Here is a 17417-nt window from a genome sequence, read left to right on the forward strand (position 1 = left end):
CCAGTACCAGCCACTGCAAAAACATACCAAATTGCAAAGAATAGCAACACTATGAAGAAACCGCATTAACTAATGGGCAAAACAACCAGCTAGCATCATAATGACAAGATTAAATTCACACATAACAATATTAACCTTAAATGTAAACGGGTTAAATGCCCCAGTTAAAAGACACAGACTGGCAAATTGGATAAACAGTCAAGACCCATCAGTATGCTGTATTAAGGAGCTCCATCTCACGTGCAAAGACACACATAGGCTCAAAATAAAGGGATGGAGGAATAGGAGGAATATTTACCAAGCAAATGGAAAGCAAAAAAAAAAAAAAAAAAAAAAAAAAAAAAAAAAAAAAAAAAGCAGGGGTTGCAATCCTAATCTCTGATAAAACAGACTTTAAACCAACAAAGATCAAAAGAGACAAAGAAGGGCATTACATAATGGTAGGGGGATCAATGCAACAAGAAGAGCTAACTATCCTAAATATATATGCACCCAATACAGGAGCACCCAGATTCATAAAGTAAGTTCTTAGAGACCTACAAAGAGACTTAAACTCCCACACAATAATAGTGGGAGATTTTAACACCCCACTGTCAACATTAAACAGATCAATCAGACAGAAAATTCACAAGGATATTCAGGACTTGAACTCAGCTCTTGACCAAGTGGACCTAATAGACATCTACAGAACTCTCCACCCCAAATCAACAGAATATACATTCTTCTCAGCACCACGTCACACTTATTCTAAAATTGACCACATAATTGGAAGTAAAACACTCCTCAGCAAATGTAAAAGAACAGAAATCACAACAAACTGTCTGTCAGACCACAGTGTAATCAAATTAGTACTCAGGATTAAGAAACTCACTCAAAACTGCACAACTACATGGAAACTGAACAACTTGCTCATGAGTGACTACTGGGTAAATAATGAAATGAATAACGAAATAAGTAAGTTCTTTGAAACCAATGAGAACAAAGACACAACGTACCAGAATCTCTGGGACACATTTAAAGCAGTGTCTAGAGGGAAATTTATAGCACTAAATGCCCACAAGAGAAGGCAGGAAAGATCTAAAATCGACATCCTAACATCACAATGAAAAGAACTAGAGAAGCAAGAGCAAACAAATTCAAAAGCTAGCAGAAGGCAAGAAATAACTAAGATCAGAGCAGACCTGAAGGAGGTAAAGACACAAAAAAAACCTTTAAAAAAATCAATGAATCCAGGAGCTGTTTTTTGTTTGTTTGTTTGTTTGCTTTTAAAGATCAACAGGATAGATAGACTGCTAGCCAGACTAATAAAGAAGAAAAGAGAGAAGAATCAAATTGACTCAATAAAAATGATAAAGGGGATACCACCACTGATCCCACAGAAATACAAACTACCATCACAGAATGCTATAAACACCTCCACACGAATAAACTAGAAAATCTAGAAGAAACAGATAAATTCCTGGACACATACACCCTCCCAAGGCTAAACCAGGAAGAAGTCGAATCCCTGAATAGACCAATAACAAGTTCTGAAATTGAGGCAGTAATTAATAGCCTACTAACCAAAGAAACCCAGGACCAGATGTATTCACAGCTGAATTCTACCAGAGGTACAAAGAGGAGCTGATATCATTCCTTCTGAAACTACTCCAAACAATAGAAAAAGAGGGACTCCTTCCTAACTCATTTTATGAGGCCAGTATCATTTGATACTAAAACCTGGCAGAGACACAACAAAAAAGAAAATTTCAGGCCAATATACCTGGTTAACATTGATGCGAAAATCCTCAATAAAATAAACCAATTCCAGCAGCACATCAAAAAGCTTATCCACAAAGATCAAGTAAGCTTCATCCCTGGGATGAAAGGCTGGTTCAACATACACAAATCAATAAACATAATCCATCACATAAGCAGAACCAATGACAAAAACCACATGATTATCTCAATAGGTGCAGAAAAGGCCTTCAATAAAATTCAACACCCTTCACGCTGAAAACTCTCAATATACTAGGTATTGAGGGAACGTATCTCAAAATAATAAGAGCTATTTATGACAAGCTCACAGCCAATATCATACTGAATGGGCAACTGTTGGAAGCAGTCCCTTTGAAAACCAGCACAAGGCAAGGATGCCCTCTCTCACTACTCCTATTCAACATAGTATTGGAAGTTCTGGACAGGGCAATCAGGCAAGAGAAAGAAATAAAGCATATTCAAATAAGAAGAGAGGAAGTCAAATTTTCTCTGTTTGCAGATGACATGATTGTATATTTACAAAACCCCATCGTCTCAGTCAAAAATCTCCTTAAGCTGATAAACAACTTCAGCAAAGTCTCAGGATACAAAATCAAAGTGCAAAAATCACAAGCATTCCTATACACCAATAACACACAAACAGAGAACCAAATCATGGGTGAACTCCCATTTACAATTGCTACAAAGAGAATAAAATAGTTAGGAATACAACTTTCAAAGGATGTGAAGGACCTCTTCAGGGAGAACTACAAACCATTGCTCAAGGAAATAAGAGAGGACACAAACAAATATAAAAACATTCCATGCTTATGGATAGGAAGAATCAATATCGTGAAAATGGCCATACTGCCCACAGTAATTTATAGATTCAATGCTATCCCCATTAAGCTACCACTGACTTTCTTCACAAAATTGGAAAAAACTACTTTAAACTTCATATGGAACCAAAAAAGAGCCCGCATAGCCAAGACCATCCTAAGCAAAAAGAACAAAGCTGGAGGCATTATGCCACCTGACTTCCAACTATACTACAAGGCTAAAGTAACGAAAACAGCATGGTACTGGTACCAAAACAGACATATAGACCAATGGAACAGAACAGAGGCCTCAGAAATAATGCCACACAGCTACAACCATCCGATCTTTAACAAACCTGACAAAAGCAATGGGGAAAGGATTCCCTATTTAATAAATGGTGTGGAGAAAACTGGCTAGCCATATGCAGAAAACTGAAACTGGACCTTTTCCTTACACCTTATACAAAAATTAACTCAAGATGGATTAAAGAATAAAACATAAGATGTAAAACCATAAAAACCGTAGAAGAAAACGTAGGCAATACCATTCAGGACATAGGCATGGGCAAAGACTTCATGACTAAAACACCAAAAGCAATAGCAACAAAAGCCAAAATTGACAAATGGGACCTAATTATACTAAAGAGTTTCTACACAGCAAAAGAAACTATCATCAGAGTGAACAGGCAACCTACAGAATGGAAGAAAATGTTTGTAATCTATCCATCTAACAAAGGGCTAATATCCAGAATCTGCAAGGAACTTAAACAAATTTACAAGAAAACAAACAACCCCATCAAAACCTGGGCGAAGGATATGAACAGACACTTCTCAAAATAAGACATTTATGCAGCCAACAAACATGAAAAAAACTCATCATCACTGGTCATTAGATAAATGCCAATCATACCACAATGAGATACTATCTCATGCCAGTTAGAATGGCAATCATTAACAAGTCAGGAAACAACAGATGCTGGAGAGGATGTGGAGAAATAGGAATGCTTTTACACTCATGCTGGGATTGTAAATTAGTTCAACTATTGTGGAAGACAGGGATTTAGATCAAGGATCCAGAACCAGAAATAAATTTGACCCAGAATTCCATAACTGGGTATATATCCAAAGGATTATAAATCATTCTACTATAAAGACACATGCACACGTATGTTTACTGCAGCACTGTTCACAATAGCAAAGACTTGGAACCAACTCAAATGCCCGTCAATGATCGACTGGATAAAGAAAATGTGGCACATATACACTATGGAATACTATGCAGCTGTAGAGAAGGATGAGTTCATGTCCTTTGCAGGGACATGGATGAAGCTGGAAACCATCATTCTCAGCAAACTAACACAGGAACAGAAAACCAAATATCTCATGATCTCACTCGTAAGTGGGAGTTGAACAATGAGAACACATGGACACAGGGAGGGGAACATCACACACCAGGGCCTGTCAGGGGGTGGGGGCCAGGGGAGGGATAGCATTAGGATAAATACCTAATGTAGACGATGGGTTGATGGGTTCAGCAAACCACCATGGCACGTGTATACCTATGTAACAAAACGGCACGTTCTACATATGTATCTTGGAACTTAAAGTATAATAATAAAAAAAAAAAGAAAAAAAAAGAAAGCCGCCTTCTACCTTTTACAAAATAAGGATTCCAGGAAAAGGCAGTAATTTATTCCAAGCTAGACTCCCCTTGTAATTATAACTCAGATGTCTACCCTTTTTCCCAGTTTTCTCTAATGTGTATGCATAAGCAGATCTGCATTATAGTGTCACAGTCCTCTTGGCTTGAGCACACTGTGGGATCAGATGGTTTTCCCCACTGCTCTTACTGGGTCACTGCTGGCTGCACTTCTCACCATGCATTAAATAGTCCACTTAACCAGCTAATATCCCTTCTCTGTTGGAGCTAGGGATAAAATGAGGAATTCCAGCCTCTCCTTCCCTAACCTTCTGATTCCTTCCGTCTCATTGAGGCACGTTTTCTTTGAAGGTTAGGGAAATTTTCAAAGGGATTAACACCATGGAAACAGGGACAAAGTCCTTTCTAACTGGGACTTTGCCAGAGTCCTGCAGGTACAGCATCAGAGCCTGGAGGGCCCTTCTCTTATGTATCCCCCAACCCAAAGAGCCTGGTCCATGGTCTTTCCAGATCAATCCCAACCATTTCCCTCAAGCAGCCAGCCCCTACCCACAGGGAACAGTCATAAGTCCTGAATCCATTCTCATTCCAACTGTGTACTTCACCCAAGTCTGCGTCATTCAGTCTGGAGGGGTCCCAGGGATGCGGCTAGGCTTTTAGCAATGCTGTACTCAGCTTGTACTGCAGGAGCAGGCAACTATCACTGCTGCTCTTGGTATTGAGGACTACTATGGTCTTGTGTCCTGACTTGCTTCTCAATATTATCTCCAGTATAACCTGTTGGCTTATCATCATGTTGTTTAAGCATGAGACCTATTAGAATAAGCACATGCATATTTCTCATAGACAGTTATTGCACTTTTTGGAGAAGAGATTAAACAAGAAAATATTTCTTTAATGTTATGAGTTGAATTGTGTCTCCCGCAAAACTCATATATGAAAGTCCTAACCCCCAGTACCTCCAAATGTTACTTTATTTGGAATATATCTGTCATTGCAGATATACTTAGATGAGATGAGGTCATACTAGAGTAGGGTGGGCCCTTAATCCAATATGACTGGTGTCTTTATAAAAGAATGCCATGACTGAGACAGACACACACAGGGAGGATGAAGGCAAAAATCTGTACAAGCCAAGAAACACCAAAGATTTCCAGAAAACCACTAGAAATTGGCAAAGAGACATAGAACAGGCTCTTCTGCACAGCCCTCTGAGGGAAAAACCCTATTGACACCTTAATCTGGGGCTTCTAGCCTCCAGGACTGTCAGACAAGACATTTCTACTGTTTAAGCCACCTAGTTTGTGGTACTTTGTAATGGCAGCCCTAGAAAACTAACACACTTAAGTGTCCATACACTGCTTTTCTCCTCTGAAATTAGGAATTCCATTATTGTGTTTGTGTTCTCCACGCCCCTCCATTCCACCCCCAGCCACCATTGCCTTGGGGCCCACCAGAATAACATGAGATGAAATGCCTTTTAACAACTGGTTTGTTACCTGTATCACCCAAAATGAGCTCTGGACTGATCATTGTTGCAAAGATTCCATTGACTTTTTGGTCATATGAAGTTTTCTTTTGGGTGGGACATGGAGTGAAGAGTGGGGAGGATGTGGCCAATATTTCTAATAATGTTAGATGATCTTGGTACTTTAGGCTGCTTTGTTTTTTTTCTAAAAGGCCAATGGCCAGCCAGGAATGATGTGTAAAGTCAGCAATGGAAATTATTAACTGTCTAGCCAACACTGTCACCTATCTTTGACCTTTTTGATGGAACCGAACTTGGGTCAGTGGAGTTGATTGAGATCTCTTGAAGAGGGCCTCCTAGCAGAGGAGCCCTCTAGCATGCAGTACTCCATGTGTGCCAGAAGGTGTCGCTCCATCACAGCTGGTACTGGAAAGAAAGCCCTGCTCCTCACTAAATCCATTTCTTTTAAATCTAAGACCAAGTAGTTAGTCAGCTGTGGCCAATTGTGTATTTTCCTCATGTCATTACCCAGAGAAGATATGATCAGCTATTCAAATTATGATTAAATTATTGAGGTCATTTTAAAATTAATTTATCTTACAGTCAGGTATTTTAAGATTCTTAGTAAAGTGTGTGTTTATGCTAGGAACTTTTCAAAGTGGGAGTGGGGGGCAATGTATGTCTTGCTTTCTTTCAGGATAAAGTTGTTCTAGAGATCTAGTTTCCAAGAAGAAATCTGTCAAAATGTTTTGAAAAAGTAAAGCCAACACTTGGCATTTAAGGGACTGCTTCAGAGACTGGAGCCATGGAGATTGACTGCCTTCATTCACTAGGTGATCTGATGGGGGAGGACAATAGTGCACAGAGGTAGGCAGGAAACAGGCTCTAAAGGTATATTTGACTGCTCTCTAGGTATATGGCACACCTTTCCTTAGATTATTCTCTTCCACTGGGGGAAAATGATCATAATGAATGGCCTTCATAAATACAGAGTTATACGTGCAGAAAGAAAAACACACCTCCTCAACCCAGCCCTTCTGGGGTGGGCTCTGGACAGACAGAAGTTAATTCTTTAAACTGCTCATCTACTGCTTATAAAGACTAATCTCCAAGAATTTCATTTTGTTCAAAGTAAAGGCAAACTGACAATCAGTGCTTCTGCTTGGAGTTTATGTTGCTAAAAAGCAGCCATCAGATTTATACTACCTATTGTTGGAAAGACACTCTAATGGGTCTGATTTTAAATATATATATATATATAAACAATAGGTTTCTGGTTAAGGCCTGGAAACAGAAAATCAACAAAGAAGAATGGATCTTGATCTGCAAAGTGAAGCACTCTCTCAGTTGAGGGAAGAGAAAGATGCTGGAGAGGTTGAACTTGGAGAAATGGTTCTCATTCCTCATATGAACTTAGACTCTTCCATCTCTGATTGTTTATCCTTAAAGGGTGTATATGTGGGGCTGGGAGAAGACATCCATTAGGAGCTTGCAGGAAGGATGAGGAAGAGACACAACCTCATTTCATACCTGTAGAGATTTCTCAAAGGATACCAGGAGACTTGGAGTGTCAAAGTCCCAGTGGGGCCAATCTGGCAAAGCTCCTCTCCTCGCTCTATGTTAAGATTTGGGAAATTGTTTATGGCAAATTATTGTCTTAAGATGCCTGTTGGAGAAGGGATGGGAAATACATTTATCTCTGTTAAGGGGTTTCCTGAAGGATAGGGTTTGATTTCTACTGTGCGATACTGAAGAAACTCCATTTATTCTCTTTCTGAAGAGAGTGGACACCAAGACCTTTCTGAAGAAGGTAGTAAGTGCCACCTACCCTTTTGCTGAAGGGAGATGGATTGTGTCCAGGGAAAGCCTTAACTATTTTTTAAAAATCTATAATGAGAACATTTATAATTAATATACAACTTAAGTTTATTTCCCCCTATATTGACATTTCCTATAGTCACTCATGGCTCTTTAGTAAAGTTGGTTACAGATTACACAAACAGTCTTTTGTTGGTTATATTATCATTGCCTCTGAAATTCTGACCACCCCAGAAATGAAGCACTATAAAAGGACAAGTGGAGATCAGATAGCAGCTCTAGTACTAAAAAACTGACCCAGGCCAGGTGTGGTGGCTCATGCCTGTAATCCCAGCACTTTGAGAGGCTGAGGCGGGTGGATCACTTGAGGTTGGGAGTTCGAGACCAGCCTGACCAACATGGAAAAACCCCATCTCTACCAAAAATACAAAATTAGACAGGAGTGGTGGCTCACACCTGTAATCCCAGCTACTTGGGAGGCTGAGGCAGGAGAATCACTTGAACCCAGGAGGGGGAGGTTGCAGTGAGCCAAGATCGTGCCATTGCACTCCAGACTAGGCTACAAGGGTGAAACTCCATCTCAAAAAACAAAAACAAAAACTGACCTTGAGGCTGGGCACGGTGGCTCACACCTGTAATCCCAGCACTTTGAGAGGCCAAGGCATATATATATATATAAACTCCTGAGGCCAGGAGTTCGATACCAGCCTGGCCAACATGGTGAAACTCTGCCTCTACTAAAAATGCAAAAATTACCCGGGCATGGTGGCAGGCACCTATAATCCCAGCTACTTGGGAGGCTGAGGCAGGAGAATTGCTTGAACCCAGGAGGTCAAGGTTACAGTGAGCCCAGATCGTGCCACTACACTCAAGCCTGGGCAACAGAGTGAGACTACATCAAAAAATAAAATAAAATAAAATAAAGAAAGAAAGAAAGGAAGGGAGAAAGTAAAGAAAAGAAAAGACAACCTGGATAATGGGATTGTCTGGAAGGGCCCACTCAAACCATAGATTCATGAGAAATAATGACTTGCTCTGGTAAGCCACTAAGTGTAGGGTAGTTTGTTATGCAGCAAAAGGTAACTAAACAGTTTGGGAGGGGGCCACGGTGGGGAGCTGAGGAGACAGCTCTTGGGCTATATAAAGCTTGTTATGAAGAGCAATAGGTCTGGGGTGGGCCTGCTCTATATTCATCTAAAATATCCTCTTTGGCAGGACAATATGAAGAAATTCTGGTATTATTGGCTTGGGTTGACCCTGGGTCCAGTGAATTGTTAGGATCATGACAATTTCCATCCTTCCTTGTCATCATTCCTGGCAAGATGGGTGACAACTGTCCCTTTTATAAAAGGGGTCTCTCACTTATCTCCTCTGTAGTCATTCATTTTTAACTCTACTTATCATATATGGTCGCAAATAAGCTTTGAAGTTCATACAATTGAGAACTTAACGTTGAGTCAAGCTCTGCTGCTTTCAAGAGTCAGATGTACCTTGCCTGGAACCTCAATTCTCACTGGTTTTGTATGTAGATAGTCAGTGAGGCTAATGCTGTGTTTACACTGGTGTAAATGAATGCTGATTCTAATAATTTTATCAGTTTAGAAAACATAACTTGTATTGGCCAGGCGTGGTGGCTCATGCCTGTAATCCCAGCACTTTGGGAGGCTAAGGTGGGTGGATTGCCTGAGCTCAGGAGTTCGAGACCAGCCTGGGCAACACAGTGAAACCCCGTCTCTACTAATATACAAAAATTAGCCGGGCATGATGGTGGATGCCTATAGTCTCAGCTACTCGGGAGGCTGAGGCAGGAGAATTGCTTGAACCCGGGAGGTGGAGGTTGCAGTGAGCCAAGATTGTGCCACTGCATTGCAGTCTGGGTGATAGAGCAAGACTCCATCTCCAAAACAACAACAACAACAACATACCATGTATCTCACTATGCATCTTACTACAACCCGCCAGTAAGTATCATTATCCCTATTTCCCAGAAGAAGATGCTGAATTTAAATAAAGGATTCCAGATTTTCCATTACTCAACATTATTTTTCATTTAGAAGCTCATTTATAAGCACTTCTAAATGTCAGTTCTATAACTTAGATAGGTATCTGGTTTCTGAAAACGAAATTTTGGGTTGAAATGTTTCAGGGAATTTTTTGTTTTATTGGCTGAAAGTGTGGCTTTAAAAAGGCAAATCGGCACCTTTCTCACAATCATAATATTGCAATTATTTTACATATATATGCACACACGTGTACACATGTATGTACATGTATACACACATACACACACAAAATCTGTAGCAGTTCTGAAAATATAGAAAGGTTTTGTTAGTGGACCATATGGGGCAGTGAATCTGCAGAAGTTGGTTAAATTATTTCAGCAGGCTTCCCTCACTAGGCATAATGGACTCAATAAAAGGAAGCGTTGCTGCCACAGATATGAGTCCCCTGCCCAGCTGGAAGTGCCACCTACCCTTTTGCTGCAGGCCATTCACTCCACGGAAAGTCCACCTACTCCCCTTGCCTGCCCAGTAACTTCTTTCAGGATGGGCCTCAGTATCACTTTAGGTTCCACTGACCACCAAAACTCCCAGCTGCTATTATTTGCCAGTCTAGACTACTACATAGAAATCACCTGGGGATTTTGTGAAACTGAAGATTCTGATTCAGTAGTTCTGGGGTGAGGCCCTAGAGTCTAATAAGTTCCCAGGTGACATCAATACTACTTGTTCCTGGACCACAGTGAGTAGCAAGGGTCTGGACCAGCATTTTCTAAAATGGGTTTTTGACACTTTATAAATTTAACCATGACAACAAACATTCATAAATGGAAAGATTTATTCCTAAACACTCCCTCAAAATACAGCTATAAATTCTAGGAAGTCTTATGTCAGTATCAGTAACTATCTTTGAACACTATCCTTTATTCCCTGGACTTTCCTTTCCATGGCGCTCTTCTGATGAAAAGTTTCCAACTTCTTAAATAAGAGGATGAATCTAACTAAATTCTTTTTGTATTCTTAATACAATGTTTATGCTTATTTCCTGATTTGATATGGAGTTAGAGTGACTCATCCTGGAGTCCTTGGCATGACAGAACTCAAGTTTCATCTTGTGCTTTGATTGCCAAAGAGTTAGCTGCAGCACTTGTTTATAAGTAAATTGTATTTACTTTACTCACTAAGTAAAAATCCAAATAATAAGATCCTATTCATTCACCCTGGGGGCAGCAAGAGGCACAAAGCCTATCCTAGAGGACAGGATACTTTGGAAACTGGTGGATGGTTTTTAAAAAGAGGTACCTTTCTGCTCATGGCACCTATGGTTAATTAGAAAAGAAAGAAAAAATTGCAATGACACAAGTGAGGATGGCTTCTCTTCCACAACCTCTTCACATGCAGGGATGGCAAGCCCAGGCAGAGAGGAGCTCATTTAAATTCCTGACCTTCCTTGTGCTCTCTGAAGTACAAGGAAGCTGGAGTAGCTGCGAGTAGCTGCAAGCAGCAGCAGCCACAGCCTCTGGGTTGTTTCCTGACATTCTGGGACAGCTGACAAAGCTGTACATCAAAGGTAGGAGCAGAGACTTGGGGGCAGGCCAAATTAGACAGGAATTTTAGCTCTGTTGGATGATTTGGGGCAAGTTGCTCACTTTCCTAAACCTGTACAATGGGGATAATAGTATCATCTGCTAGGACTACTGAGAGGATTACATGTGATAATGTACATAAAAGATTCAGCAGTGCAAGGATGGGGAAGCTGCTGATTGTATTAATACTATCAAGTATTAATGAATGGTAGCTATTCTTTGTATTAGTATTCATACTATTAATCTCTGCTGGGAATGTCTCAACAGCCAGCAGCCAGCTAGCCCAGTCTTGGGGTCTCTCATTTACCTCCCTCTTCCCGCGCTATCAAGAAGCTTGGGTGGAGGTGGCCTGCCAGGTATTGAGATCTAAAGGGCAGGCTGGATTTAAGACCTCAGAGAACACAGCCACAATGAAAGGCAAGTGATGTGTCAGACAGGTCTCAGCAAGTTCAAAAACCAACACAAACATGAAGTCAAGTATGGAGCTGGTTTTTTCATTCAGAGGAGACTCACAGATGTGTTGGGGAAGCCTGGGCAGGGGTGAGCAGGGTGCCTCTGTAGTGCCCACTTATATTTGTAGATGTAATATGGGGGTGGCTAGTGCCATCCTCAGGTCCACAAATTATGCCTCCATCTCCTTGCTATCATTTTCTCAACATTGCTCATGGTTGCTGAGACTGAAGAGGTGACAATGAATCAAATCTGGGTTCAGATCATGTCTCTGCCCCTTTTTCAATTATGTGACTTTGGGGAATTTATCTCTTTGTTTCATTTGGTTTCATCAACTGTGAAATTAGGATTATTCACCTACACTTCAACGTTGTTCATAACTAGAATTGCAAGATTTTGACAACAAAACTATAGGACACATAGTTAAATCTGAATTTCAGATATAACCAACAAATTATTTTTAGTACAAATTTATTTTTTGGTTATTCTAGTTAGCAATTCCTCTAACCTTTTTTCAAGGTTCTTAGCTTTCTTGCATTGGGTTAGAACATGCTCCTTTAGCATGTTTTTTGCTTTTTATTGTTACTCACCTTCTGAAGCCTACTTCTGTCAATTCGTCCAATTTATTCTCCATCCAGTTTTTTCCTTGCTGGCGAGGTGTTGTGATCCTTTGGAGGAGAAGAGGCGTTCTGGTTTTTGGAATTTTCAGCCTTTTTGCACTGGTTTCTCCCCATCTTTGTGGATTTATCTACCTTTGGTCTTTGATGTTGGTGACCTTTGGATGGGGTTTCTGAGTGGATGTCCTTTTTGTTGATGTTGATGCTATTCCTTTCTGTTTGTTAGTTTTTCTTCTAACAGCCAGGCTCCTCTGCTACAGGTCTGCTGGAGTTTGCTGGAGGTCCACTCCAGACCCTGTTTGCTTGTATCACCAGCAGAGGCTGCACAACAGCAAAAAAATTGCTGCCTGTTTCTTCCTCTGGAAGCTTTATCCCAGAGTGGCATTCATCAGATGCCATCTGGAGCTCTCCTATATGAGGTGTCTGTTGGCCCCTGCTGTGAAGTGTCTCCCAGTCAGGAGACACGGGGTCAGGCATCCACTTGAGGAAGCAGTCTGACCCTTAGCAGAGGTGGAGCAATGTGCTGGGAGATCTGCTGCACAGAGCTAGCATGCAGGGACATTTAAATCTACTGAAGCTGTACCCACAGCTGCCCCTTCCCCCAGGTGCTCTGTCCTAGGGAGATGGGAGTTTGATCTATAAGCCCCTGACTGAGGCTGCTGCCTTGTTTTCAGAGATGCCCTGCCCAGACAGGAGGAATCTAGAGAGGCAGTCTGGCCACAGCGGCTTTGCCAAGCTGTGATGGGCTCCACCCAGTTCACATTTCCTGGCGGCTTTGTTTACACTGTGAGGAGAAAACCGCCTACTCAAGCTTCAGTAATGGTGGACGCTTCTCCTGCCACAAAGCTCCAACGTCCCAGGTCGACCCCAGACTGCTGTGCTCGCGGTGAGAATTTCAAGCCAGTGGGTCTTAGCTTGCTGGGCTCCATGGGGGTGGGATCTGCTTAGCTAGACCACTTGACTCCCTGGCTTCAGCCCCCTTTCCAGGGGAGTGAATGGTTCTGTCTTGCTGGTGTTCTAGGTGCCACTGGGGTATGAAAAAAACTCCTGCAGCTAGCAGGACCAGATGTATTCACAGCTGAATTCTACCAGAGGTACAAAGAGGAGCCGGTACTGTTCCTTCTGAAACTATTTCAAACAATAGAAAAAAAGGGACTCCTCCCTAATGCATTTTATGAGGCCAGCATCATCCTGATACCAAAACCTGGCAGAGACACAACAAAAAAAGAAAACTTCAAGCCAATGTCCCTGATAAATATTGATGCGAAAATCCTCAATAAAATACTGGCACACTAAATCCAGCAGCACATCAATATCTTATCCACCATGATCAAGTCGGCTTCATCCCTGGGATGAAAGGCTGGTTCAACATACACAAATCAATAAACGTAATCCATCACATAAACAGAACCAATGACAAAAACCACATGATTATCTCAATAGATGCAGAAAAGGCCTTCAATAAAATTCAACACCCCTTCACACTAAAAACTCTCAATAAACTAGGTATTGAGGGAACGTATCTCAAAATAGAAGAGCTATTTATGACAAACCCACAGCCAACATCATACTGAATGGGCAAAAGCTGGAAGCATTCCCTTTGAAAACCGCCACAAGATAAGGATGCCCTCTCTCACAACTGATATTCAATATAGTATTGAAAGTTCTGGCCAGGGCAATCAGGCAAGAGAAAGAAATAAAGGGTATTCAAATAGGAAAAGAGGAAGTCAAATTTTCTCTGTTTGCAGATGACATGATTGTATATTTACAAAACCCCATCGTCTCAGTCAAAAATCTCCTTAAGCTGATAAACAACTTCAGCAAAGTCTCAGGATACAAAATCAAAGTGCAAAAATCACAAGCATTCCTATACACAAATAATAGACCAACAGAGAGCCAAATCATGAGTGAACTCCCATTCACAATTGCTACAAAGAAAATAAAATAGCTAGGAATACAACTTTCAAGGGATGTGAAGGACCTATTCAAGCAGAACTACAAACCAGTGTTCAAGGAAATAAAAGAGGACACAAACAAATAGAAAAACATTCCATGCTCATGGATAGGAAGAATCAATATTGTGAAAATGGCCATACTGCCCAAAGCAATTTATAGATTCAGTGCTATATCCCCATCAAGCTACCTTGACTTTCTTCACAGAATTACAAAAAACTACTTTAAATTTCATATGGAACTGAAAAAGGGCCCACAGAGCCAAGACAATCCTAAGCAAAAAGAACAAAGCTGGAGGCATCATGCTACCTGACTGCAAACTATACTACAAGGCTACAGTAACCAACACAGCATGGTACTGGTACCAAAACAAATATATATATCAATAGAACAGAACAGAGGCCTCAGAAATAACACCACACATCTTCAACCATCTGATCTTTGACAAACTTGACAAAAACAAGCAATGGGGAAAGGATTCCCTATTTAATAAATTGTGCTGGGAAAACTGGCTAGTCATATTCAGAAAATTGAAACTGGACCTTTTCCTTACACCTTACATACAAATTAACTCAAGATGGATTAAAGAATTAAATATAAGACCTAAAACCATAAAAAACCCTAGGAGAAAACCTAGGCAATACCATTCAGGACATAGGCAGGGACAAAGACTTCATGACTAAAACACTAAAAGCAATGGCAACAAAAGCTAAAATTTACAAAAGAGATCTAATTAAACTAAAGAGCTTCTGCACAGCAAAAGAAGCTATCACCAGAGTGAATAGGCAACCTACAGAATGGAAGAAAATGTTTGCAATCTATTTATCTGACAAAGGGCTAATATCCAGAATCTACAAAGAACTTAAACAAATTTACAAGAAAAAAAAACCATCAAAAAATGGGTGAAGGATATGAACAGACGCTTCTCAAAATAAGACTTTTATGCAGCCAACAAACATATAAAAAGAAGCTCATCATCACTGGTCATTAGAGAAATGTAAATCAAAACCACAATGAGATATCATCTCACTCCAGTTAGAATGGCAATCATTAAAAAGTCAGGAAACAACAGATGCTGGAGAGGATATAGAGAAATAGGAATGCATTTACACTGTTGGTGGGAGTGTAAATTAGTTAATCCATTGTGGAAGACAGTGTGGCAATTCCTCAAGGATGTAGAACCAGAAATACCATTTGACCCAGCAATCCCATTACTGGGTTTATACGCAAAGGATTATAAATCATTCTACTCTAAAGACATATGCACATGTATGTTTATTGCAGCACTGTTTATAACAGCAAAGACTTGGAACCAACCCAAATGCCCATCAATGATAGACCGGATAAAGAAAATGTGGCACATATATACCATGGAATACTATGCAGCCATAAAAACAGATGAGTTCATGTCCTTTGCAGGGACATGGATGAAGTTGGAAACCATCATTCTCAGCAAACTAACACAGGAACAGAAAACCAAACACCTCATGTTCTCACTCATAAGTGGTTGTTGAACAATGAGAACACATGGATACAGGGAGGGGAACATCACACACTGGGGCCTGTTGGGGGATGGGGGGCTAGGGCAGGGATAGCATTAGGAGAAATACCTAATGTAGATGATGGGTTGATGGGTACAGCAAACCACCATGGCATGTGTATATCTATGTAACAAACCTGCACGTCCTGCACATGTACCCCAGAACTTAATGTATAATTTAAAAAAAGACGAGATGGGTAGATCACGAGGTCAGGAGATCAAGACCATCCTGGCTAACACAGTGAAACCCTCTCTCTACTGAAAAATACAAAAAATTAGCTGGGCATGGTGGCAGGCACCTGCAGTCCCAGCTACTCGGGAGTCTGAGGCAGGATAATGGCGTGAACCAAGGAGGTGGAGCTTGCAGTGATCCGAGATTGCACCACTGCACTCCAGCCTGGGCGGCAGAGTGAGACTCTGTCTCAAAATAAAAAAAAAGAAAAAAATTACCCAATCTGTTGATAGCTTTAACTTATAAAATGTCTTATTATTGAAAACATGGAGAATATGAAAATGTAGAAAGAAAGAAATCACACATGGTTTTACCACTCAGTAATCATCATTGTTAATATTCTGAAGTATGTTTTTTGAGGTGTTTTTTCATAAAGTGGTTTAATGGGGATACTTAAAAGTTGCTAGGTGGGGGTTCTCTGTGCATTTTCCCTTCAGTGGCATTTAAGAAAAGTGCTGCTGGCATTCCATCCACTCATTTTCATCTCTTCCATATCCTTCTTTCTTACTGCTTCTCTTGAAAAATTGCATTCTTTTCTTTATTTTTTTTTCTTTTTGCCTTTAAGGGATGTTACAGTCTTGCCAGTGCACCACAATGTAGCAATCTCTCATTTTGAGGTATCACCCAGAGCTCTTTGTCTCAGGACTAAGAAAATTAAGAAGCATGGACACAAAGGGTGAGGTTGGAGCAAAAGTTTAATAAAGTTTAATAAGCAAAGAAGAAAGCTCTCCACCACTGAGAAGGGGCCTGGAAGAGAGTTGCCATTTTTACAGTTGAATGCAAAAGCTTTTATAAAAGAGGATAGCTGGGCATTTCATCTGCATAAAGCATGAATTTCTGCTAGCTCCACCCTGTCCTCCTAGTGTACATGTGGGCCCTTAGCTTGAGGTACTCCAAATTGCTTTGTTCCCCAAAGTATGTGTGAGGGGGGCAGAACTTTGCTGAGCATGTCTGGACAAGTCACCTGTGAAGCCTTTCTTATCTGTGTGGCTGTGGCCATGTCTTAGGCAAGCCGCCCTGTGCAAGTTCCCTTATATGTGCCTTCAGGCTGTTCTTTTGTTTGAAAGAATTCAACCAATGACCCACTTTAACTGCCTCCCTGACCTCTTTCTTCCTTTCTCCTGTCTTATTTCCCTCCTCAAGGGTGGAGACCCTAACTGGTCTTAGGGGGAATGGGGTGATGATTCTTCTAGCTACTTCCTACTGGAAAGGGGCACTGCATGGGGAACAGCAGCTAGGGTTTCTCCTGGGGCTGGTCTAAGGATTCCTGGAAGAAAGGCATATCCATGTATTGTTTCATTTGCATTACCATTTGGAGTTTGATAGTCTTTAGGCAAGAAGAAACAATTTGGGTTATTAGAGGAAACAAGCAGGGGATAAGCACAGCTTAAAAATCCCAAGGCTGCTGACATGTACAGATAACTGGTGGCCACAGTTATGCCCACTAAGATTTGAGTGCAAGGGGCTTGGCTTTGGTTAACTTCCTTGGTTTTATTTTCCCAAAGAAACCTCTGGGTTATGGGTACCCTATTTACTCC

The sequence above is a fragment of the Homo sapiens genome, chromosome 7, assembly GCF_000001405.40.
Source record: "Homo sapiens chromosome 7, GRCh38.p14 Primary Assembly".
NCBI lineage: Eukaryota > Metazoa > Chordata > Mammalia > Primates > Hominidae > Homo > Homo sapiens.